The 26909-nt window shown below is 39.2% G+C and overlaps 1 protein-coding gene and 1 long non-coding RNA gene across 7 annotated transcripts in view, besides 1 other annotated feature; one reads left to right on the plus strand and one right to left on the minus strand.

The window, feature by feature from the left end:
* The window catches only part of NEMP2 (nuclear envelope integral membrane protein 2), a 227365-nt gene that overhangs the window by 177260 nt on the left and 23196 nt on the right, over positions 1-26909 (minus strand). For 3 of the 4 annotated variants that reach the window (XM_017003100.2, XM_017003099.1, XM_017003098.2), the window contains exon 1: positions 8276-8446. The exons of the other annotated variant lie outside the window; for it this stretch is intronic. In XM_017003100.2, the coding sequence (XP_016858589.1) occupies positions 8276-8402 (127 nt within the window). In that variant the 5' untranslated portion in view covers positions 8403-8446. Of the gene's footprint in view, positions 1-8275; positions 8447-26909 lie in introns of those variants that run through there. 4 annotated transcript variants of the gene reach the window in all.
* The window catches only part of NEMP2-DT (NEMP2 divergent transcript), a 104691-nt gene that overhangs the window by 63843 nt on the left and 13939 nt on the right, over positions 1-26909 (plus strand). Inside the window, exon 4 of one of the 3 annotated variants that reach the window (NR_183904.1) lies at positions 17406-17807. The exons of the other annotated variants lie outside the window; for them this stretch is intronic. This is a non-coding gene — a long non-coding RNA (NEMP2 divergent transcript). Of the gene's footprint in view, positions 1-17405; positions 17808-26909 lie in introns of those variants that run through there. 3 annotated transcript variants of the gene reach the window in all.
* Positions 8910-10109: an enhancer, noted in NCBI's record as "MED14-independent group 3 enhancer chr2:191472316-191473515 (GRCh37/hg19 assembly coordinates)". NCBI's record gives its function as "activates an origin of replication core promoter dependent on BRD2, BRD4, P300/CBP and CDK7 cofactors, and independent of MED14, by STARR-seq in HCT116 cells {active_cell/tissue: HCT116}" and the evidence as "EXISTENCE:reporter gene assay evidence [ECO:0000049][PMID:35650434]".

The raw sequence follows: 26909 nt of genomic DNA on the forward strand, positions 1-26909 counted from the left end.
TAGCTAGCAAAGCAACCATTTTAAATTGGAATGTAATAGTTACCTAGATCCATGTTGCCATGTTGCTGCACAGACTTAAAATATTTTACTACCAGTGAAATTGTACTTTGCATATAATACTAACCTTGCCAAATAACCTTATGACCAAACCTCATATCTTGAGTGACTAACGTTAATATACCTTAATCTGAAGTTTAAGAGTACTCCCTTATTCAGCATTTACATCTTATCTTGATTTATATTTTTCTCCAAATAATAGAAAAACACTGCAAATGGTGTTTTGTTTTGTTTTTAGTGGCTCTCTAGGCCCCTTTTTCTCAATTTGTTTCAACCAACATTTATCAAACAAGGAGTATGGGCCAGGACTTGTGCCAACTTTAAGCAGATTTTAGTCATAAAATCAGATGTGTTTCTTCTAAAATCATGCTGTAATTTATTCTCCATTATTTTGATATTAGTGAAGGTTAACTACTGCAAAAGTTATCAGTTTCTCCATCTATAAATAGAGGACAGAAATCAGGAAATAGAAGAGAGAAGCTATAAAAGGCAGGCTAGATTTGTACAAAACTACACATCTAGCTTATATGACTCAAAGATGTGGTGAGAATTCTGTTTCCTGTCACTATTTACTACTTGGCATCAAGTAGATGAAAAAAAGCTGAAGCTTTTGGGCTAAACTTTTATTTTCATCTGGATAGATGGCAGGCCTCGAGGAACATCACAGGTAAAACTCTTGAAATGTCTATAACTTCAGATGAGTTATGGACAAAATATATACTTTCTGGCCTATAATTTGTTCACTGTATTTTTCCATATTTGCTACTGATTAGTAATATATTAAGTATCAGTCAGTAGGAATAGTATTAATATTGCCAATGCATTTAAAAATTTTAATTTTAACTATAATTTTTACTTGCTTTTTGATTCTGTGTCTTTTACTTTAGGTGCTGTGCCCCTAGTCAGGAATCGGTTTACTTGGCTGTGTAGGAGTTATGTAAAAATTTCCAAATGATATAAGCCAGGTGTTCACAGCTCGCTATGCATCGAAACTACACTGGAAGCTTTCCAAGAGTAGGTGTCTGTTACCTATAGCAGGGATGACAAAGATGGCACGTGGGCCTATTTTCACTGTCCCTTAGGCAAGTCATCTTCACAAACTCACCGACCTTGCAGTGCCCCATCCCCCCATCCCAATCATGTTCCCTCTCCCTCACCTGGGAGGACTATCCTTGGCAAGAGTCAGATCCAATGACCTCTTCCTGCACTGCTGTGAAGAGTTTATGGGAGCACAGCGGCTTTCACACACACTCTCCTGCTGTACAGTGCCATCCTAGCTGCCCCTGTGTGTGTCACTTCCTACATCTCTCACTGGTCTGAGCGGTACAGAGCAACTAGAACCTTAGAAAATTAGTTTTCGAAGGTTTCTTATCTTAGTTCTGTATGTCACAGTACACAACACACTTGCCATCTTAGCAGTGGTATTTTACAAACATTCCCTCTTGCTCTTCCTCTCATTCCTTTTCCTGTTGTTTCTAACTCTCATTGCTTGATTATTGGCTCTTCAAGGAGAAGGAAGAAATAGGTTAAAACCCAACTAGAAGATACTGGGGGAGGAAAGGGGACTCAGTAGAGTAGAGTACAAGGGGAGGGTTATCAGTGTTAGTCTTAGAATGAGGCTAGTGCTGCCAGACTAGAAATTATTTGTCTGGCGTGTGCTATTGTTTGAATGTCATTTGTCTTCGCCAAAACTCATGTTGAAATTTAACCCCCAGTGTGGCCCTGTTGGGAGGTGTGGCATAGTGTGAGGTGTTTGGGTCATGGGTGTGGATTCTTTATGCAGGGAAGAATGCCCTCCTTGGGGTGGGTGAATCCTTGCTTTCCTGGAGAATGGATTAGTTTCTGAGAGACTGGGTTGTTAAAGAGAGTCTGGCTTCCTTGGTTTCTCTTTTGCTTCCTCTCTTGCCATGTGATCTCTTTGCACGTGCCAGCCCCCTTTTCACCTTTTGCCATGAGTTGAAGCAGCCTGAGGCCCTCATCAGATGCAGATGCCCAGTCTTGAACCTTCCAGCCATCAAAATTGTGAGCCAAATAAGCCTCTTTTCTTTATAAATTACCTCAGCCTCAGGTATTCTGTTATAGCAACACAAAACAGACTCAGACAGTGCAGGAATGTGCGGTGGCAGCCATGGCCCAACATGTGGTCAGGTCTTAGTGGTGTGTTCCCCAGCCCTGGCGGCCAGCATCCCTGCCCACTTGTCACACAGTGCTAGTACCTTCCTGAGAAGGCTGCTCAGAAAGCTGAGCAAGTACAAACAATTGATGTGGGTTGAATTGTATCTCCCTAAAATTCATGTTGAAGTCCTAACCCCTAGTACCTCAAAATGTGACCCTATGTGGAAATAGGGTCATGGCAAGTGTAATTAGTTTAAGATGAGGTAATACTGGAGTCAGGTGGGCCTGTCATCCAATATGACAGGTGTCCTTATAAAAAGCAACATTTGGAGACAGTCACATATACAGAGAGAACACTGTGTGAAGATTGGAGTTATGCTGCCACAAGCCAAGGAACCACCAGAAGCTAAGAGAAAGGCCCAGAACGATCCTTCCATAGTGCCTTCGGAGGAAGCATGCCCTGTCTGCACCCTGATCTCAGATTTCTGGCATCCAGAGCTATGAGACCATAGCTTTCTGTTGTTTAAGCCGCTCGCTTTGTGGTGCCTTGTTATGGCCACCCTAGGAAACTAATGCTGTGTAACAATGTGGCAATGGCAGGCCTACGTTGGTCTTGACTCAAAGCTCCTGGAAGGGTGCTGGTTTGATGGTGCTAAGAAATGTGTACTGTCCAAATCCAAACATCTGGAATGAAACCTATGTAAGTTGATAATAGACATATACATATAAGGAAATAAAAATATAATTTCCGAGCAACTCCATGAAAATAATGATTGCTGAAACTACTTGTTATGATACTTAACGCAAATGATAAAAACCTGTGGTCACTGTTGGGCTTCTTATATGCCAAAGAATCTGTTTCTCCAGGTACCAGGGCAATCCCAGGAGCTAAGCACTCCAGGCCATCTCCTTCTATAACTCAGCTCAACCAATGTTTACTAACCTGACCAAGTACTAAGAATTCTAAGCAACGGCAGTAGAAATAAAAAAAATCAGACACAATCCCTGCCATTAAGTAGCTTGCTGCATAGTAAATAATAAGAAAGGTAGAATTTTGGAAGAATCTTTCACTTATTAGCCTATAGGGAATTCCATCCACTTACACCGAGGACTGTTGAAGACTCTTAGTTACAGGTGATGGAAATACAACTCAAGCTGGCTAAAATGAACACACAGATAAAACCCTGACTAATTTGAGGATGAAAATATGATTTTATTAATGTATTAGTCAGGGTTCTCTGGAGAAATAGAACCAGTAGGAGACAGTGAGGGAAGGAGAGACTGAGATAGGGAGATGGGAGAGAGGCGGAGAAGGAAGGAGAAATAGACATAAAGAAAGATATTTATTTTAAGGAATTTGCTCATATGATCGTGGGGGCAATTTGTAGGGCAGGCTGGCAGGCCGGAAATTCAGGTAAGAGTTAACGTTACAGTCATGACTCCAAATTCTGCAGGGCATCAGGCTGGAAACGCAGGCAGCATTTCTGTATTGCAGACTGGAGGAGAATTCCTTCTTCTTTGGGAAATATCAGTCTTTGTACTTAACGCCTTCAACTGATTGGATGATGCCCACACACATTATGGCGGGTACCCAACATCTACTAATTTTAATGTTAATCACATCTTTTAAAAATACCTTCGCAATAACATCTAGACTGGTGTTTGACCAAACAACTGGGCTTCACAGCCTATGCAAGTTGACACTCAGAGTTAACCACGACAGGTTGAGTGGAACCCAGGGAGTGCCCTTCAGTCACCAGGAATCTACCCCTCCCCATCTTTCCACTCTACTTCTTCCTCGGTGAAGGCTGTGACTGCCCTGTCTTCCTGTACATGCCCATGGCTGAACCAGTCATTGTGGCCAAGGGAGTGCAGTTTTCTGGCTGGGGCAGAGAATGGGGAGAAAGGCTGTTGTGTTAGAAGAAGGGATGTCAAGCAGGCAAAATCAGGAGCTGTAGGCAAGCATAGTTTTGAAGGAAACAAAAACATTTTGTGCAAAACCAGCCCTGGAATACTGAAAGGTGGGAAGGAAGAGGGAGCAAGGAGAGACTGGGAGAAATGAAGAGTCCTTGCTGGAATGCCTTATATACTGCTGCTGGAGGTGGGCAGTGACATCAGTGGTCACCAGAGACCATATGTAACTGATGGGCTTATATCCATTAGCTTGATTTAAACCACTTTGAATCTCATGAAATTTTCCTTTGAGGAAAATTTAGTTTTTCTCATTGATTTAAAGTCAGTAATTTCTGTTCCTCTGAGCACAGAATTGCTTTTAATTATAAATGTATGACATTTAAAATTATTTAAATACAAATATTTTTACACCAAGGGGTATGGAATGTGGGGTGTGGGAAGTGGGGATGGAAGCAATGAATTTTTTCCTGTGCAAAAACCCTGCTGGAAAAATATTTTCCCTTAGTCATTCTTCCAAAAATCATCCCTCTCAGAGATGCTTCTTATTTAAAATTAAATGGAATTGACATTCAGAGATTTTTGAATAATTTAGCTGAACTTGTTTCAGTGATTACGTAATGGTTGCAAATGGGTCAAGGCCCGGGTCATTTGTGGGAAATAATAAATATATTTGTTTCCGTAGCCATTGTTCATCTGCCTCCCTCATCCTCATCTTCTCCTATCCCCACAGCTGCTTCCACTCTCTCCACACTGGAAGCTCCCTGAGACAGTGGCTCCCTTTTATCCATCCTACTCCTGGGGCAGTGTCTGGCATCTAGTATGCAATGCATCAGAGTGTGCTGAATTGCACTGAACGTTGACACCCGGGGAGCTCTGGCATTTAGGAAAGTAGAGAGTGCTATGATAGTTCTGTAGATTCTCAGAGAAGAAAGCCTCTTAGAACAAAGTCAACAACAATTATAACAACAGCTTCACAAATTTCTAGATGCACAGTTGCCATTGTTGGCAGCTTTGTACAACAAAAATCTTACATGCAGCTAATGTCTGTCAAATATTGGAAACCAACACTGGGCAAACTCTGGAGTATGTTTTCTGTGTTCCTACTCTTTACACCCCCCACCTTTTTAAAACAACCCTCCCAACCATCCATACATTTTCCATATTCAGATCTCCTCTACCATTTTCATTCTTTCTTCTAATCAAAGTAGGAAAGGACCTCATTTTAATCATTTTTACTTAATGAACTGATTATAATTTGAAATCAATGAATGTCATTTACTTCTTTCTCTATTATAAAATGAAAGAATGTGTCGCACCTGAAAGGGAATCTAGTTGTGAATAAGCAGCTAGGGATGGTCTACGTGTCCATCGATAGGTGCCTCCTTCCTTCTCTCCCCCACTTTATTCTTTCTTGGAGAGTGAGTGGGAAAAGGGCATAGACAGGGTTACCCTGAAAACCAACCCGAACAGTACAATGATTTCATCCGTTTGAGGGTGACTAGAGGGATCAAATGGAAAAGGTGGTATGGACTTTTTCCTACCCCAACACCTACTTCTGGGACCTGAAGATCCCTTTCTTTAGGGATAGTAACAGCACCTTGCCTTACTACAGGTACTTCTGGCAAATAGTCTCTTCCCTTCTTTCTACTGAACACAGGTGAGTCGGCTTCCTCACCTTTAACCCAACCCTTTCCATCTGCGCGCTTGAACAACAGAAACCACAATGTGCCTACTCAGCCCAGTGCCGTTGGGAGTTTGCATACATTATTGCTAGGCTGAACACAACCTTGAAGACAGATTAATACTGCCTTCATTTCACATGTGAGATTCGGAGAGGGTAGGTCACATTCTCAAGGTCACAGCACTAAGTAGCAAAGTCAAGAAGCTTGGGTTTCTTCAGCTCCAAAGCTCATGTCCACTGCACCACTCTGCCTCCCAGATGTGTTTTAATGTTGTCCAGCAGTCCAGCATTCATTTTTTAAAAAATGATAATATTGTTATTCAGCTCTCTCCCTAACCTGACTTCTTGGGTCACATTGTCATGCCTCCTGTATCATTTCTTATCATTTCTGCCTCCACAAAAATGTCCCTTTAGCACTTCACATGCCTTGTGACCAAAACCGAACGTAAAACTGTGTTCCCAGTTTTTGTTAATTCAGTTAAGTCACCTAGTTGCTTAAACCAGAAGCCTGGGACCCTTGACTTTTCCCTTTTTCATGCTCTCCTGTTTCAGTTGGTTGCCAAGTCCTACAGATTATTTCTCACACATACATATCCATAAACATAAACACATACATATACAGTGCACGTCTACCCCTGAACTCTCATTTTTCATTTTGTAAGAATCCTAACTTTTCTCTCACTGAAACCCCCATGTTGACATTAAAGTAATTTTTTCTAAGATACACATTTAATTACGTCATTCTCTTTCTTATAAATTCACAGAATAAGGTCAGAATTCCTTGGCATGGTATAGAGGACCAACACCTCACAATCTTGTCCCACCCTCCCCTGCCCGCCCCACTATTCCCTGCCATGACCCCAACTCCTTTGCTTGTTCCCAATCTACCACGTCTTTTTTTAATTTTTTTAATTTTTATTTATTTATTTATTTATTTTTTTGAGATGGAGTCTCGCTCGCTCTGTCACCTGGGCTGGAGTGCAGTGGCGCAATCTCAGGTCACTGCAACCTTCACCTCCCAGGTTCAAGCAATTCTCCTGCCTCAGCCTCTGGAGTAGCTGGGACTACAGGCCCCCACCACCACACCCAGCTAATTTTCTTGTATTTTTAGTAGAGATGGGGTTTCACCACGTTGGCCAGGTTGGTCTTGAACTCCTGACCTCAGGCGATCTGCCTGCCTTGGCCTCCCAAAGTGCTGGGATTACAGGTGTAGCCATCGCACCCAGCCCTACCATGTCTTTTGAGTCTATGCTTTTGCAGCTGCTCAACTTTTCATTTCTTGTTCCACATGGCCATCTTCTATGTGCCAAAGCCAAATTCAAATGTCAGTTCTCCTGTAAAACCCTCTCAGATTTCTCTGGGAAACTTAGCTTCTCTGCACTTTCACAGCTCTTAACACATACCTAGATTATAGAACACATACCGTTGTGCTTGGAGTGTCTGTTGACAGTGTACCTCTTGGCCCCACTAAAGTGAGAACTCCTTATGGGCAAAGATCTATATTATCTGTACTTGGAATTCAGACATCTCACACTGTTTCTGGCACACCATAGATCCTGAATAAATGTTGTTGGGTTGAATTCAATGGAATGTATCTGAGGAACAAGAGTTTCACAGTGTCCACCTTCCAGTCTTGCGCTTGTGATTTAAATACTCACTCACAGTTAAGCTAAGGCCGGACCAAAATAGGGAAGATTACAGTTTGTCTTTTCTTTCAGTGGCCTTTTTTTCTAACTTCCTTTTTCCTACTAGTTACAGCCCCTCTCCTCCTTTTAGATTCCCAGTGACCTAAATTTTTCCTGTCCTCTTCCCCAAATCAGGAAGGCTCTGGAAACATCACTTGTGTACCAACTGAAACTCCCAGCTCTGCGGCACACTAGCTGTGATCCTGGCCAAGTTCACTTGTCTGAAATTAGTTCCTCATTTCGAACATGAAAAGTATCGTATCTGCCTCCTAAGGTTGCTGTGAAAGTTCAACAAGAGGCCAGGCATGGTGGCTTACGCCTGTAATCCCAGCACTTTGGGAGGCCAAGGCAGGCAGATCACCTGAGGTCAGGAGTTCAAGACCAGCCTGGCCAACATGGCAAAACCCCGTCTCTACTAAAAATACAAAAATTAGCCGGGTGTGGTGGGGCAGGACTGTAATCCCAGCTACTTGGGAGGCTGAGACAGGAGAATTGCTTGAACCTGGGAGGCAGAGGTTGCAGTGAGCAAGATCGTGCCACTGCACTCCAGCCTGGCGACACAGTGAGACGCTGACTCAAAAAAATAAAAAAGAAAAGAAAATTCAACAAGAAACTCCAAGTAAAGCATTAGCACAATCCCAGGCATATAATAATAGCTCAATTAATTTTTTTTAAAAATGCCTTATTTATACAGATATGCTAATTTTTCCCAATGCATTTACTTTAAGAATTTCTATTTAATTGTGGAGCAAATGACCTCTTATTAAAGAAATCTTATTCAAATAAGACCTACTGGCAGCTTCCTTGGTGCCTGGCTTCCTACCTTGTACCGGGAATGCAGGGAGGAAGACTTGATCCCTGCTCTGGTGTGCTGATCCAGAGTCCTCAGTATAGGTGCTGACATGTGAGGCACTTCCAGGGTTCAGAGTGGAGGCATCTGAACAGCCCATGGCGGGTGCTGAAGGCAAGTTTCCCAAGAAGGGGTTCACGAGGGCTGGAATCAGTCAGAGGAATGTAATCTTGTCAGCGGAAACATGAGCAAGGGAATAGGAGTCAGGGTTTGACAGGAGAGGATAAATGACAAGTCATTTGGTTCAGCTGCAGCTTGGGTATGTGTAGGAGGGAGTCAGAAAGATGAGGCTGGAAGGATAAGCAGGTGGCCAAATCTCAGGGGCAACAGCAAGTGGGTGGTAAGGAGTGGGCTGTGGTTCTTCTAGCCCAGTAAGGCTCAACTGCGTTTGCATACTGGAATCACTGGGAGCTTTTAAAAATACCAAAGCCATGACCCTAGACTATTACACAGGAACTACTATGGGCAGAACTGAAGCATCATTTTTTTTTAAATCCAAAGTGATTCTAATACACAGCCAAGATTGAGAAATGCTACAGTCTAGCCCCTGAAATCACACCAACCCAGATTTGGCTGCCAAGTAACTCAGAGTAATTGTGGACCTTTAGCATGGGCAGGAAACCAAAAGCACATCCAACCTTACTCCTGTATTTTTAAAATTAATTAATTTTTATTGTGGTAAAATTAGACATAACATAAATTTACTATTTTATCCATTTTCAAGAGCACAGTTCAGTGGCATTAAGTACAGTCAGTTGCCGTGCAATCATCACCTCCAGCCATTTCCAGGTAAAATTACAAAGGCTTTTCATTTTGAAGTACAATCTATTTTTCTTTTGTTGACTCATGCTTCTGATAGCATAACCCCTGTATTTTATAGATGTGAACACTCATTCCCTCAGGGTGGGCTTCCCTGGAAACAGACTCTGAGATGAAGACTGGTGTACAGTAGTCACTCCTTATTGGTACTTTTGCTTTCTGCAGTTTTAGTTATCTATGGTAAACTGCAGTCCAAAAATATTAAATAGAAAACACCAGAAATAAATAATAAGTTTTAAATTGTGTGACGTTCTCAGTAGGGTGTAAACTTTCAAGCTGTCCTGCTCTGTCCCACCCAGGATGTGAATCATCCCTTTGTCCCCCGTACCCACGCCGTACACGTTCCCCATCCGTTAGTCACTTTGTAGCCATCTTGGCTATCAGATTGTTGCAGTATCGCAGTGCTTGTGTTCGAGTAATCCTTATTTTACTTAATAATGGTCCCAATGTGCGAGAGTAGTGATGCTGGCAATTCGTATATGCCAAAGAGAAGCTATAAAGTGCTTCACTTAAGTGAAAAGGTGAAAGTTCTTGACTTAACAAGGAAAGAAAAAAAAATTGCTGAAATTAACAAAATTTATAAGAACAAATCTTTTACCCGTGAATTTGTAAAGAAAAATATATTTGTGCTGGTTACAGCACCTCAAACTGTAAACGTCATGGCCATAGAGTATGATAAGTGCTTAGTTAAGATGAAAAAGGCATTCAGTTTGCAGGTGGGAGACATTAAAAGAAATGTGTTTTGATTGGCAACACGTTGCACCAGAAAGCATTGAGCCTGTATGAAGACAAGCATTGATCCCTACAGCAAGGGATCCCCTGAAACGAGTGACACCAAGCCATTTATTGCAAGTAAGGGATAGTTAACAGATTCAGGAATAGGTTTGGACTGAAAAATATATAAATTACTAGAGAGGCTGTGTCTGCTAATGAAGAAGCTGTTGCCACAGGAATACAGAACAATGGGATATTTTGAAGGAGCGAGAGAGACCACATGCGTATGATTTTACTGTAGTATAATTGTTCTATTTTATTATTAGTTATTATTGTTAATCTGTTAGCTGAACCTTATTAAAAAAATTTTATCAGAGGTACGTATGTATAAAAAGAAAATATATATAGGGTCTGGTACTATCTGCAGCTTTAGGCTCCACTGAAGTTCTTGGAATGTATTCTATGAAGATAAGGGGGACTACTGTATAGAGGGGATTACAGCATGCTCTTGGCATTGTTCCTGAACCAATATGGGGGTTGGGCTGCTATTTCTCGTGGCCCAATAATGAGATGCAGATGAACTGGGGACGAAGAGAGTATTTCTGTAACCAGTTACAGGGAGAAGGCCTGGAAATTATTGCCAGACCAACTCAAAATTACAAAGTTTTCCAGAGCTTATATACCTTCTAAGCTATATGTCTATGTGTAACTGAGTGAATTAATCTAAAGACATAAGTGATTAACTTCTTTTAATCTATAACTAAGGTCTGAGTCCTGAAGACCTTCTAGAGCCTCAGTAAGTTTACTTAATCTAAATGGGTCTAGGTGCTGGGGTGATTACCCTTATCTTGTCTCCTGCTAAATCATGGAGGTTTGGGGAGTTCCTTTAGATCTCAATAAACTTGTTTGTGGAGGCCCGAGGAGTTTCTTCAGACCCCCCAATAAAACTTGTTTAATCCTAAAAGGGTCCTGTTAAGAATTCCTTCATTATCTTGTCAAACTTCAAGGCCCATGAAAAGCCTAGGCAAAACTCTTGGTGGGCTCTTTGTTACATTCCAGCCTTTGTATAAGGGCACTGGCTCAATCAGCTTTTAATGTTTAACCTAGCTACTCAGTCAGAGCTGGGACAGTTGTTGTAATGCAGGCCTGCATTAGTGAGACCTGGCCTGCCACAATCACCACTGTCAATTTGTGCATGATTTCTATCATGCTTGTATATTTATTTATCACAAGATCATAGGGATATGGGGCATCATAATCTTTCTGGCTACTTCCTGCTGAGAGAGGGTCATCATTATGGGGACTGAATGCAGTGCTGGAGTGGAGGTGGTTGATTTGTTCCCTCTATTGGCTCTATTTCGGGGGCCTAGAATAGTATGCAACAGCAACACATATAAAGAGGTTGCTGCTGTTTTCTTCTAAAGTTTAAGTTGTCTAGTCTTAAGTTTGCAGGGCTTTACGAAAGCACAGCTCAGGTTTCAGTGATTTCCAATTAGGAAGAATGGGGGAAAAGGAAAAGAAAAAGGGAAAAATTGAAAACATTATTTTGGAGACCTGTAGCCAAAAAATTAGAATTTAATCCAAACTGTAGAAAACAATAAAAACTGAAAAAATCAGGCAAGACTAGAATTTAACAGGTATACTATAGTTTTGAAACATAATTTTTCTCTCTTCATGGTAGGACTGGTATGCTTTATTATATTTGGCCAGATTATTTGTATAAAGTGCAGCAAGAATAATTATTTTCACATAGGTCTTTTATATTGGCTTTGATGGAACTTTGTTCCATAGAAGGAATCTAAGATGAGACCTTTTTAAAGCCAAGCCCAGCCATGGATTTGTACCATCAAATACCTATGAATTGGGTGAATTCCTCTCCTCTTGAGGTTCCAAGATAACTTGGGGTTCCTGGCCTCTTGGAAAGTGACATTGTTTGCTTACCACAGATCAGAAACCCTGTACAGGGACTGTGTATGCAAAATATGAGGCCAGTTTTCCAAGGGCTTTATTGGCTCCATAAGTCAAGTTTGATTCCTTAAAGGAGAGCATACCATTCCAGTCAAAGCCCTTGGTAAAATAACCAGTTTTTCCAACTGTGTCCTCTTACGAAAGAAAACAGATTCTTGTTGCACTTATGCAAATAACTATATTGCCATAAATTAAGAATACTCGCAAATAGTTTCCAAATTTTGGAATCAGGTAGAGAGAAACAAATATGCTCCAAATTTTGTTCATAGGAGTATACTTTACTTAATTGTTAAAAGCTGTCAATAGCTCAAAAGTCTCCTTGACTCTGAAAAGCAAAACAAAGGATTAGCAACATTTTAAGCAAAAAGTCAAAAAGATCACTTCAGTCTCCTATTAGTTCAGTTCATGCAGTTAATTCCTGTCCTGCTTGATACTAATGAATATTTTAACTCTTCAAGAGTCCTGAACGTTTTTCCTCTATTCTGATGTCACATCTCCAAAGTTATCAGAAACCTGCATTCAAGAGCACCTGTTAGAGCTTTATAGCTGATTATAAAATCACCTTCTACAGAGGACCAAAACAAGACAACAATTGATTATGGATGACAAAAAGTTTTAGGGTAGCCATAGTTAAACACACAATTGACAAGGATATCTGTTACCTCTGTGGCACACAATAATTTAACACAACAATTATAATTATTACTCATAACATACACTAAGATGTATCAGAATTATAGGAGTCTCCCATAACTTTGGAACACATACAAATAACATACTTATACAAATATAGCCCAAAGAAAGCCAAACACCATTTCATATTTGACAATGCTTTCTGTATAATATTTATACCAAATAAACCAAATTTCACCTTTACGTTAGTGTGCTATTAATGTTAAACCCAATTCTTAACAAATCCTTATAGACAGATTTACCCAATTTTAATGTTTGACCATAAGGTAAGATTTTGTATAGACCTTTTATAACCCTTTACAATTTTTGTTAAAGAGCAGGTTAGTGCTTTAAGAGAAACCCACTGTGCTTTTATTTTAATGTTCAATTTACAGAAAAACTGGATGATACCCCTTTAACTTTGGCCAATATGTTTACACACAAAATTTCCTTTATAATCAACCTTCCACAACTTGTTTAAATCTTCCTCTTTATTTTATCCAACTTAAAACAGTCCTTTAACCTTTTAATCTAGGCAAAAATCCACATTCTCATGACTCCTTATAATCTTTTTACTAGAAGTATATTTTGCTTTCCTTACACACCTTGCATGTAAACTGTTTCTTCAATAGTTTTAAATATATGTTACACTGTTAACTTTTAGCAACCTTTACTTTTGGTGAAAACCTTGGTAAGTTTGGGATTTTAATTATGTACTAGGTGTGGAGCCTTGGACCTAGGCAGAAATGCAGATAAGGTCCGACTTATTCCAGTTTCAAACTCCATGTGTCCCAGGCCTTACCTAGCTGTACACCAGGCAAGTTGTACAGCTAAGAGTCTTAGTGGCATTTTTATAAAACATTCAGGAGGCCTAATCACCTTCAAACTGTACATTTCTTTCCTTTCATAAATTCCCTTTCATAAATTCTTTCATGACTACACAGACAAGCTATGACATGCCTTGACTTGACTTTCTGACTTGTCCTAAACATCCCTCTTTTTTTTTTTTTTTTTTTTTGAGATGGAGTCTCGCTCTGTCACCCAGGCTGGAGTGCAGTGGCATGATCTCGGCTCACTGTAACCTCTGCCTCCCAGGTTCAAGCGATTCTTCTGCCTCAGCTTCCTGAGTAGTTGGGACCACAGGTGCGTGCCACCACGCCCAGCTAATTTTGGTATTTTTAGTAGAGATGGGGTTTCACCATATTGGCCAGGCTGGTCTCAAACTCCTGACCTCGTGATCTGCCCTCCTCAGCCTTCCAAAGTGCTGGGATTACAGGCGTGAGCCACTGCGCCCGGCCACATCCCTCTTTTTAAACAACCAGTTATTTTACTTTAGGACAAGAATTTACCACACAAGATCCTTCATTATATAAAATATCTTTTCTTTAATACCTTTTTGCATAGCTAGGGGCATGGCTAATTTCATGTGTCCTGAGGGCTTATCTAGAATTTAACACTCCAAAATAAATTGAACAATTTTTTAAGTCAAAAAAAGTTTATGACCTAAAGCATTTAGCAAACTTAATATTTGACCTGCATAATTTAGACCAAATGTTTACATTTTTGAAGATATTTTTATTTTACCAATAGACTTTAAAACTCTCTTTATTTTTACAACTTACTTTATATCTCTCTTATTTCCTGGTTCCTTTTACCTTGTTTTATATATAAAAAACCTTTAAATAAGCTTTGAATTAGACAAAAATTATTTACCCTTTAAAAAGGACACAATTTTTAGAATGAATGTTTTCCTACAATATATTTTAATTGGAAAATACCTAAATAATGAAATATCTGTTGTTTAATTTAATATAACTTTGGATTCTGCAAATATTTGTCCCATTACATTTATCTAATTATTTATTTTAATCATTTACCTATGTTATTTATGAAAACTGTGATAGTCATCATTAAAAGTTATGAAATCACCAATGCAAAATTATAACTGAGAGAGTGAAAATGATCTGACCTAACTGACTCCATCTTACTTCTTACCTTAAAGCTATTCTTATTCATTAACTAAGGTCATAGTTTAGTTTTGAAACAGAGATGATAACAGTCCTTTCCCAGGATGAACTTTCTTTATGTCTGTGGAATAGACTGCCTAAGGCCACAAGATTAGGGTATTTTACTAAATAATTCAAGATGTAGCTATCTTCATTAAACCAATATTAATGTTTTATTAAAAACATTATATTTATTAAAAACAAGCTATAAATAAAATAATGTTTTATTTATTTAAAAAACATTTTATTTATTAAAAACCAGCAAAGATCATTCTGTTTTGGGCTGAGTTATAGTTTTGTAGCCTCTACGCCAAATTTTGACACCTTATAGTATTTGACAGAGCTAAGTACAAAGTTGCTTGATCAATAAATGCAAACAAAAATGTATGCTGGCAACTCTTAAGACATTTCTAATATTACTTCACCAATAATTTATTTTTTTTTGAGATGGAGTCTCACTCTGTCACCCAGGCTGGAGTGCAAGTGGCAAGATCTTGGCTCACTGCAACCTCCGCCTCCTGGGTTCAAGCAATTCTCCTACTCAGCCTCCCAAGTAGCTGGGATTACAGGTGCCCACCACCATGCCCGGCTAATTTTTAAAATATTTTAGTAGAGACAGGATTTCACCAAGTTGGCCAGGCTGCTCTTGAACTCCTGACTTCAGGTGATCTGCCCGCCTCGGCCTCCTAAAGTGCTGGGATTACAGACGTGAGCCACCGTGCCCAGCCATTACTTCACCAATAATTTTTAAAGCTAGCTTATTCATTAAAGATTTTACTTAAGTCATATAAACTTGAGAAAGCATTTGACTAGTCTTTCCTTTTTCTGTTGAAGTATTTAAGCACTTTTATTTTTCTTTGAGCCAATTAATTAGAACTCTTTTATATATTTTCAGTAGTGAAACATGGTGTACACAAGACATAAATACATAGACATATTAGGCATGCCAATAGAAGTACATTTTATAGATTCATAAGACCTCCTTTTCCCTATCTTTTAACTGGATCTTTGAGCTCTGGGCAGAGCCAACACTGAATCCTGGGTTTGCAAAAAGGGAGAATTATTATGGGGCTAGACCATGTGGTGCTTTTACAGTGCACTTAAAAAAACCTTTTTTTCCAAACAAAGTCATTTCTAAGTGTCTAAATTACACTTTTTCTTAAAAACCCCAGAGTAGCTTCTGTTGTAATAGCTATTAATGAAGAAAACACAATTCAGTCAACTGAAAAGAAAAATAAAAACTTTTGCTCAAAACGACAAGATCCTAGGAGAGAAATAAAAACAAAAACAAAAACAAAAACATGAAGGCCTTTTAAATACAAACATGCACACATACACACATACATAAAGATATCTTGGATGTTAGCTTTTAGTTAAGCTGACTCTCAATCATTGAGCTTCTAAAAAATATTTTTCCTTCCCAGAGGCCTCTCAACAGGAATGGACCCAATACCTCCCATTTTCAAGTTTACGTGATATGAAAGGGAATAAGACAGATACACAAATAAGTGGAGGCAAATTTTGAACAACACAAGGGGGAGTGCATTTAGGCAAAACAGAGTCAAAACCAACTCAAAACATGATCTTAACCAAAATGCAAAGCAGGTGTATGAGCAAGCCCTATGGCTTCCCTTAGCAGTACCAGACAAATGGCTTAACAAGGCCAGATAGGAAAACAATAGGCTCCCAGCATACAACCCAGTTAACTCACCCTTTGAGTGAGTCTGCTCCTGATCTCCTGGCATCTGGAGGGAATGGGGTTTAAGCCGTGAAGGAGATCTGGGTGACATATAACATCATCCATTACAGTTCCAAAGAGGTATCTTGAACAATAGGAAAGCAAACTGTTTTCTCCTACTATGCTCTCAACACACAGGACATTTTCAGTCACCAAAATGTGTGTGGGGTTTTCTCCACATTGACCAATTGTCTGACACCAATTAGGTGTCCTACAATTTAACTCAATTCTGACATTAACTGGAGTTAGTTTGGGTCCTACAGGTTAAGGGCTCAGTCCCACAAGACTTCCCCCAAATTCAGATGCCAATCACAAGCTCCGGGTTGGCACCTGTGCTCCTGACCGAGAAGCTACAGATCAGAGGTTCACACGACTCCTTCCTCAGGTTTGATCATTTGCTAGAGTGGCTCACATAATTCAGGGAAAAATTGACTTATGTTTACCAGTTTACCAGGGAGATATTTACTTGCATTTACTGGTCTATTATAAAGGATATTTCAAAGGATACAGATGAACAGCCAGATGGAAGAGATGCCCAGGGCAGGGCACATGTGAAGGGCACGGAGCTTCCACACCTTCTCTGGTGTGCCGGCCTCCCTGCACCTCCACATATTCAGCAACCTGGAAATCTTCCAAACCTATCCTTGGAGGTTTTATGGTGGCTTCACTACACAGGCATGATTGATAAATCACTGGCCATCAGTGACTGAGTCAACCTTCAGCCCCTATCCTCTCCCCTCCCGAGAGATGAGGGGATGAGGTTGAAATTTCCAAACCTGTAATCACTAGGTTGGTTCCTGTGGCAACCAGCTAGCATCCCAAAGCTTTCCAGGACCCCCTAGTGATCTCATTAGCACACAAAAAGACACCTGTCACTTAGGAGAGTCCAAGCATTTTAGGAGCCTCGAGCCAGGAAATAGGAGGAGAGACCAAATATATCTATTTCTTATTATGGCACATCTCCTCTTGCTTGCTTTGGTCTCCTGGTGCTGGGCTGTCACTGCCACTTTAATATAATTTAGAGCAGAATCTAAGGTCTCCAGGAAGCTCCAGCCTATTCTCACCAGGCCCATTCCCTCCTTCCCTCCTCATTTTCCTTTCTGCCTCCCTAGCTGCTCTCTTCCTCACCTACAACTTTGTCATGTAACTGTTGCCCTTCTGTTAAAAGTCTGCAGTTTAATTTCAGGCCCGAGTTCCTGCCACTTCAAGACTTCACCACCTGAGACAATGAGCAGCAGCAAAGGGAGAAAGCAGCTGCTCAAATTCTCCAGTATGTGTGGATGGAGTGAGGAGGGATGCTGGGATAAAATACTTAGAGAAAAACCCCAGCCCAGGGGCATGGGCCCAAATACTGAGGGGCAAAACCTGAACCAGAAGCACCTATATGATGAGAAAGTGAAGAAAAAAAAGGATGACAGTAAAATGGTACTGGAATTAGGGACATCATAAAAATTGACCTCGGTTTTAGATGTTGAAGAAATGACAAAATGAATAGAAAAATTAGTAGAGTTAATATTTATGTCTAATTATTATGCAGTATATTTCTATATATAATGTGTTAATAAAACTTAAATGTATTAAAACTAAATTTTTCTCAAGTTGTATTTGATTAGAACAGTAAACTCTGACATAACAAATAATAAGCTTTATAAACAGTGGCTTACACAGCATGGAGATGTGCTCACACTCCAAAACATCAGAGGGCATGCTCACTACAATGTATCCTCTTTTGAATAGAAGGAAACTATACCTTTGGATCCCTCTCTTCCCTTGGGGCTCACAGATACAGGACTCATGCTGAGTTCCTAACCTAAACTCTAAGACTTGTTTCTCATAAAAATTTCTCTTTAATAGTCTTCTTGCTATACTGTAGTAATGTTTTATAACATTTTTTCCTATTTTTTTTTCCCGAAAAAAAGAATATTTAGGCCAGGTGTTGTGGCTGATGTCTATAATCCCAGTACTTTGCGATGCCGAGGTAGGAGGATCACTTGAGCCCAGGAGTTTGAGACTGGCCTGGGTAACAGAGCAACATAACATCTCTACTAAAATTAAAAAGAAAAATAAAAGGAAAAAAAAGGCAGGTGTGGTGGCTCGTACCTGTAGTCCCAGCTACTTGGCGGGACTGACGGGGTTGGATCGCCTGAGCCTGGGAGGTTGAGGTTGGAGTGAGCCCCGATCGCGCCACCGCACTCCAGCCTCAGCAACAGAGCAGGACTCTGTCTCAAAAAAAAAAAAAGAATATTTGAAATATTGAATTTTTAATTTTCCTAAAAAATACTTACATCATTGAATTTATGAAAATTTCTATTCCTACCCCATAGATAACTTACTACACTTCAGTTTTCATTAAAGTCCACTACCCAAGAGTCTTCCCAAAGCTTTTGTGTCATCTGAAGTCAAGGTCTATTTGAAGGCTGAGTGATTTTTTTTCTGAGAAGTATTCTTGAAAAGGTCTTATCTATTTGGAAATGCTTTAGGACAATCAAAATGGAGGAACAAAAGTTGGATTTTATATTCTTCCTTTCCCTTTCTAGTCTCCTCATTAAAGAATACCAGGATTTCTCCCACCCCTACCCTTCCACCTCCCACATTATCCTGCCCAAAATTAAATTACTCCTTTCAGAGAAACTAGGAATATCCAATGGAATGAAAAAGATTTTGCCTGCAGAGAGTTTCCATTTGACCCCTATTTAATTTGAGTGTCATTTTCATTTCTTGCTCCAACCCTATTTATACTGTCTAAATCCTCAGACGTTTCTCTGGGGAAATTTACTCAGAATAAACCCACAAATTTTCTAGAAAATAACTTAACAAGATTATATATTTTAAAAACAAGTTTTGATATTCCCTTTGGGCTAAAGCCTCATTTTTCTTAGGGTATCCATGTAGGAATTGAAATTTCTTTGGTTGCAGTAGTCATTTTTAACCTTATCACCACGATTACTGCTATTAAGTATTTAGCCTACATTTTTATGATTCAATCTTGGAAATGGTTTTTACGGTTTCATGATCATTTCCTTAATTGTTTCCATTTTTCAGGCTTTTACTATGACATTAGCTACTGCCCATTCTTTAAACTGCCTGAAAATGAGGACTTGAATTTTATTATCAAGTAGCTAAATGGAAAATCAGTCTCCCAGGATTCTTAGAGGGGCGTAGGAGAGACCTCTGAACGTATTCTATCTCATTACAGAGCTGGCTCAGAAGCCCAAGACCTGAGCAGGTTCTCTACTTTGCTTGCAGCTTATCAGTGTGGTAACTCATCAAGGCCTTAGCAAAATCATCCTGCCTTTTGGCTGTTTGCCTCATTGTTTGTTTAGTGTAGACCGAGTTACAAATCAAGTCTTATCTTCCTTTGTCAATCAGTTCTTCCCCTTTGCCAGGTGTTCTAAGCAGTTTCTTGCCTCTCACTGTCAGTTTCTAGCAGTTCCTGGACTCTCAAGGTCAGCATGGAGCACTACAGTATATCTCTCACAAGGATCAATGACACTTTATGAGAAACACCTAAACTCTCCCACCAAAACTTAAAAAAGGTAGAGCACTATTGTGACTTTTCATGTATCTCAATCCCTTCTGCTTCTCCCATCCCTCCTTCCCGCTCTTCGACCAAAGATAAATTATTAGCTAGGGATAGATGATATTATCTTTGGACAAAGGAGATAATTCCCCATTATCTACCTTTTTTTATTTTTAATTGAGACAAGTCTCACTCTGTTCTTCAGGCCAGAGTACAGTGGCACGATTATAGCTTACTGCAGCCTCGATCTCCTGGGCTCGAGCAATCCTTCTGCCTCAGCCCCTCAAGTAGCTAGGACTACTGGCACGTTTCACCAAGCCCAAGTAGTTTTTGATTTTTAATAGGCACAAGATCTCACTATGTTGCCCATGCTGATCTTGAACTCCTGGACTCAAGCGATCTCCCTGCCTTGGCCTCCCAGTGCTGGGATTACAGGCATGAGCCACAGCACCCGGCCTAACTTTTTACGTACTCTGTGATTGCATTATTGTGTCATCTGAAATGAAAGAAGATTATTTGCTCTTTTAAAATTGTTTTTTTAAACTTGTAATTCTTGCCCAAAATGCTGAAGTTGGTGAAATGGAAATAAGCAGAGAATAATCTCTCTTCTATCAGAGAGAGCAAAGCTACTTCTCAACTCATACAGCAGAATTGGACTTGCTATTAAGACTCATAGTAGGACAGATGTGGTGGCTCACACCTATAATCCCAGTACTCGGGAGGCCAAGGTGGAAGGATTGCTTGAGCCCAGGAATTTGAGACCAGCCTGGACAACATAGTGAGATTTCGTGTCTACTAAAAATAAACAATTAGCTGGGCGTGGTGGTGCATGCCTGTAGTCCCAGCTGCTTGGGGGCTGAGGCAGAAGGATCACTGGAGACCAGCCTGGGCAACATATGGAGACACCTGTCTCCACAAAAAAAAAAAAAAATTAGCCAGATGTGGTGGTGTGAGCCTATAGTCCCAGCTACCTGGGAGGCTGAGGTGGGAGCATCCCTTGAGTCCAGGAGTTTGAGGTTGCAGTGGGTTATGATTGCATCAGTGTGCCCCAGCCTGGGTGACAGAGTAAGACCCTGTCTCAAAAAATAAAAAAATTAAAAAAAAAAGACTCATAGCAACCCATTTGTTACTTGGCTCTGAAATCATGAGATGAAGTTAAAAGATTTTTTTTAAATGTTATGCTTTGCTCTTCCAGTTGTGATTGTTATATACAAATAATGCAAAGCTGAGCAGAGTCAAACCTGGGGTATGTGCATGGTCAGTTCCAAAAATCAGGATACATGATTTTTCATTCTGCTATCTAAGGGACAGGCTCATGGGGCAGCCAGGGGCAGAACTTATTGGCCCCTAGACATTATATAGTACTAAAGGCAAAGTGCCAAAAGTTGAGAGTGGGAGATGAATATAGGCCACTGAGAAAAATGGCAAGCTATGAAGTAACAGAAAGTTGGAGAATGGTCTCCAAAGCCATTCAATGAATCCTGCCATACTGTGTTTTCCTTGGCTCAGACTGTTTTTACCTCGGTGGCCAGCCCTGCATTGGCTCTTGGGTCTCAGCTTCTTAAAGGTACCACTTAGCACCTGGTGGTTCTTATTCTGTAAATCGATGCTGTATCATCATTGTCATCAAATCAGCAATTCTTTTCCAGGATGCAGACCATGTCCTAATTTGCTTAATTTTCCCTGGGGAACTAAGCTCTCAGTTGGATGTGATAATGTCTTCTCTTCTTAGAAGTTTGTCGAGACAGTTTTCTAGAGTTGACACCTTTACTGACTTCCTGCTGTCTATTTTATATAACAGGCATGGCATATGCACTATCAAAATTCATGCACAAACATATTGCATACTACAAGCATAAGGATAGAATGGAAATAAGCTATTATATTTACCTACCCCAATCAGTTGTTTGCTCTCATGTGGTGGGAGATATGGAAGAATGCTCAGGGGAAAGGAAAAGAGAGAGAAAAGTTTCTTCTGCAACATCCAGCCTTTTCCAGGAAAAGCAAAAAACAAAAACAAAACAAAACAAAACAAACAAAAAAACAGAGAATCCGTCTCTAGTGGGCATTGTTTCCATACCTTATTACAAATAATGAAAAGGACATAAAATCCCAAATGAACTTTCAGATCTCATTTGTTTTAACAATTCAGCCCTGACCATGAATGGCATTTAAAGAGAGTTATAGAAGGGAATTTAATGAACTGATTAAGGTCATCTACAGAAACCTCACAACTAGCATCATACACAATAGTGAAAGACTAGATGATTTTCCTTGTCCAGAAAAAGACAAGAAGGCCCACTCTTGTTACTTTTATTCAACACTGTACAAGAAGCTCTAGACAAGGCAATTAGACAAGAAAAAGAAATAAAAAGCATCCATATTGGAGAGTAAAAAATGAAACCATCTTTATTTACAGATGGCATAATATTGTATACAGAAAATCCTAAGGAATCTATTAAAAAACTATTGGAAGTATTAAATTCAGAAAGGTTGCAAGATACAAGATCAAAATGCAAGTATCAATATACTTCTATATGCTAGCAATGAACAATATGAAAATGAAATTTCAAAAATTCATTCATAGTAGCACTAAAAAGGATAAAATAATAAATTTAACAAAATGAGTAAAAGATCTAAAAGATCTACACCAACAAATACAAAATACCATTGAAAGAAATTAAAGAAGATCTACATATAGTCATAAGTTGTTTAATGATGGGATTATATTCTGAGAAATGTGTTGTTAGATGTAGGTGATTTTGTTGTCATGCGAACATCACAGAGTGTACTTATACAAACCTAGATTGTATATAGCCTACTATACACTCTGCAGATATATGGCATAGCCTATTGCTCCTAGGCTACAAACTTGTACAGCATGTTACTGCATTGAATACTGTAGGCAACCATAGCATAATGGTAAACATTTGTGCGTCTCAACATATTAAAACATAGAAAAGGTAGAGTAAAAATATGGTATTATAATCTTATGGGATCACCATTATATATGTGGTCTGTCATTGACCAAAATGCCATTATAGTGGCACATGACTGTAAATGGAAGACATCCTATGTTCATGGGTTGGAAGACTTAATATTGTTAAGATTATAGTACTCCCCAAATTGACCTATATATTCAATGCAATACATATAAAAAATTCCATCTGTCTTTGGGTTTTTTTTTTTGCAGTAATTGGCTCATATGTCCCTATTTCAAAATTTACTACAAAGCTACAATAATCAAGACAGTGCAGTAGTGGCATAAGTATAGACATAAATATCAATGGAATAGAATTGAGAGTCTGGAAAGAAACCTTCACATGATGGTCAATTAATTTTCTACAAGGGAACCTGTCAAGACAATTCAAGGAGAAAGACTATTCTTTTTAATAAATACTTCTGAGGGCTGGGCATGGTGGCTCATGCCTGTAATCCCAGCACTTTGGGAGGCTGAGGCTGGTGACTCACCCGAGGTCAGGGGTTCAAGACCACCCTGGCCAACATGGTGAAACCCCGTCTCTACTAAAAATAAAAATTAGCTGGGCAGGGTGGCATTCACCTGTAGTCCCAGTTACTTGGGAGGCTGAGGCAGGAGAATCACTTGAGCCTGGGAGGTGGATGTTGTAGTGAGCATGCCACTGCACTCCAGCCTGGGGAGTGAGACTCTGTCTCAAAAATAAATAAATAAAGTGCTGAGAAGCTGGGTGTGGTGGCCCATACCTGTAATCTCAGCTACTCAGAAGGCTGATGTTGGGGGATCACTTGAAGCCAGGAATTCAAGACCAGCTGGGCAACATAGCAAGATCCTGTCTCCAAGAAAATAAAAATTTAAAAAATTAACTGGGTGTGGTGGTGTGAGCTTATAGTCTCAGCTACTCAGGAGGCTGAGGTGGGAGGATCTCCTGAGCCCAGGAGGCCGAGGTTGCAGTGAGCTATAGTCATGCCACAGCACTCCAGCCTGGGTGACAGACAAAAACCAAGGCTAGAGTGCAGTCTCTTAAAAAAAAAAAAAATTAAAGGCTAAGACATCTAGATATTTGCATGCAAAAGAAAGAAGTTGGATTCTGACCTTTCATCTTATAGAATAATTAGCTCAAAATAAATCAAAGGCCTAAATGTAAGGGTAAAAATTATAAAACTCTTGGAAGAAAACATTAGAGTAAACCTTTGTGACTTGGGATTGGGCAGTGGTTTCTTAGATATGACACCAAAGCACGACAACAAAAATCGGACATCATCACCATAAAAAACTTTTGTGCTTCAATAAAGGGAAAGACACACCACGGACCCTTATCTAATAAGGAATTTGTATCAGAATATATAAAGAATTCTTAAAAGTCAAAATAAGATCAAAAATTAAAAAACAATTTAAATGGCCAAAGAATTTTATTCAACATAATACTGGAAGTCCTAAGCAGAGCAATTAAGCTAGAAAAAAAATAAAGAATATCCAAATTAAAAATAAAGATGTCAAATTATAATGTTTGCAAACAATATATTAGATTTAGAAAAATCTAAAGATTCCACCAAAAAACTAGAACAGACAAACCAATTCAATAAAGTTTCAGGATATAAAATCAACATACAAAAACCAGTAGCATTTATATATGCCAACAGTGAACAGTCTAAAAAATAAATCAAGAAAGCAATCCTATTTACTATACAAAATACCTATGAATAAATTTAACCAAAGAAGTGAAAGATTTATGCAATGAAAATTATAAAGTACTTATGAAAAAATTGAAGAGGACAAAACAAGGGAAAAATGTTCCATGCTCATGGATTGGAAGAATTAATATCATTAAAATGACCATACCGCCCAAAGCAATCTGCAGATTCAATACAATCTCTATCAAAATACCAATGACATTCATCACAGAAATAGAAAAAAAAACCCTAAAATTCTAATGGGACCACTCAAGACCCCAAATAGCCAAACCATTCCTGAGCAAAAAGAACAAAGCTGGAGGCATCACACTACCTGACTTTGAAATACACTACAAAGCTATAGTAGCCAATAGAAAGGCTACTGGCATAAAAACAGACACACTGACCAATGGCACAGAGTAGAGACTCAGAAATAAATCCATGCATTTACAGCTAACCCATTTTCAACATAGGTGCCAAGAACATATATCAGAGACAAGATGGCCTCTTCAATAAATGGTGGTGGGAAAACTGAATAACCAGATGCAGAAGAATGAAGCTAACCTCTATATCTCATCATATCAAAAATTAAATCAAAGTAGATTAAAGACAAATCTAAGACCTAAAACTATGAAACAACTAGAAGAAAACATTGGGGGAAATGCTTCGGGACACTGGTCTAGGCAAAGATTTTTTGGAAAAGACCTCAAAAGCACAGGCAGCCAAAACAAAAATAGACAAATGGGGTTATATCAAGTTTTAAAAAAACACAAAACCTCTGCAGAGCAAAGGAAACAATCAGCAAAGTGAAGATACAACCTACAGAACGGGAGAAAATATTTGCAAACTATCCATCTCACAAGGAATTAATAAGCAGAATATAGAAAGATTCAACTCTATAGCAAAAAACAATCTGATTAAAGAATGGGCAGAGCCAGGCACATGGCACTCATCTGTAATCCCAGCTACTTAGGAGGCTGAAGCAGGAAGATTGCTTGAGCCAGGGAGTTGGAGACAAGCCTGAGCAACATAGTGAGACCCTATCTCCAAAAAGGAGTTGGGGGGCAAAAGACCCAAATAGATATTTCTCAAAAGAAGACATACAAATGGCCAACAGGTATTAAAAAAATGGTCAACATCAGTAATCATCAGGGAAATGCAAAGCAAAACCACAATGAGATATCATCTCACCCTAATTAAAATGGCTTTTATCAAAAAGACAAAAACAACAGATGGTGGTGAGGATGTGGAGAAAGGGGAATACCCATACATTGTTGATAGGAATGTTAGTATAGTCACTATAAAACAGTATAGAAGTTCCTCAAAAAAATTATAAATAGAGCTGCCATATAATCTAGCAATCCTACTGCTAAAGACTTAAGTCTTTAATCCATTTTATCCAAAAGAAAGAAAATCAGTATATGGAAGACGTATCCACATTTTCATATTTATTACTCTATTCACAATAGCCAAGATATAGAATCAACCTATGTGTCCATCAATGGATAAATGGATAAAGAAAATGTGGTACATATACACGGTGGAATATTATTCAGCCATAAAAAATACAATGCTTTCATTTACAGCAACTTGGATGGATCTGGAGGTCATTATGTTGAGTGAAATAAGCTGAGCACAGAAAGACAAATACCACATGCTGTCATTCATATGTGGGAGCTAAATGTGGATCTCATGGAGGTAGAGAGTGGATTCATGGTTACCAGAGGCTGGGAATAGTAGGGGTGAAGGAGAGACAAAGAAAGGTTGGTTAGTAATCACATGAAAAGATTCTCAACCATATTAGTTATTAGGGTAATGCAAACCAAAACCACAAGAAACCACTTCACATCCATTAAATCATCTATCATCAAAAAGATAGACAATAAAAAGTGTTGACAAGGATGTGGGGAAATCTGAATCCTCATTTATCGTTGGTGAGAATGCAAATGATGCAGTCACTTTGGAAAACAGCTTGGCAGTTCCTCAAAAAGTTAACCATGGAGTTGCCATATGGCCCAGCAATGCCAGTGCTAGGTATACACCCAAGAGCACTGAAAACATGTCTACACAAAAACTTGTACACTCATGTTCACAGAACATGATTAATAGTAGCTAAAATGTGGAAACAACCCAAATGTCCATCAGCTGATGAACAGAGTGTGTTATAGCCATACGATGGAATATTATTTGGCCATAAAAAGGAAAAAAGATAGATGAACCTTGAAAGTATTATACTGAATGAAAGAATCCACATAATGTATGATTCCATTTATATAAACTGTCCAGAAGAGGCAAGTCTGTAGAGACAGAAAGTAGATTAATGGTTTCCAGGGGCCTCAGAAAGGGGGAATGGGGTAATTGCAAATAAGCATAGGGCTTCTTTTTCGGGTAATGAAAATATTCTGGAACTAGTGTCAATGGTTGCACAACTTTGTGAATGTACTAAGAACACTGAATTGCACACGTTGAAAGGATGCATTTTTGATATGTGAATTACATCTCAATAAAGCTGTTATTTTA

Source organism: Homo sapiens, chromosome 2 (genome assembly GCF_000001405.40).
Source record: "Homo sapiens chromosome 2, GRCh38.p14 Primary Assembly".
Lineage (NCBI taxonomy): Eukaryota > Metazoa > Chordata > Mammalia > Primates > Hominidae > Homo > Homo sapiens.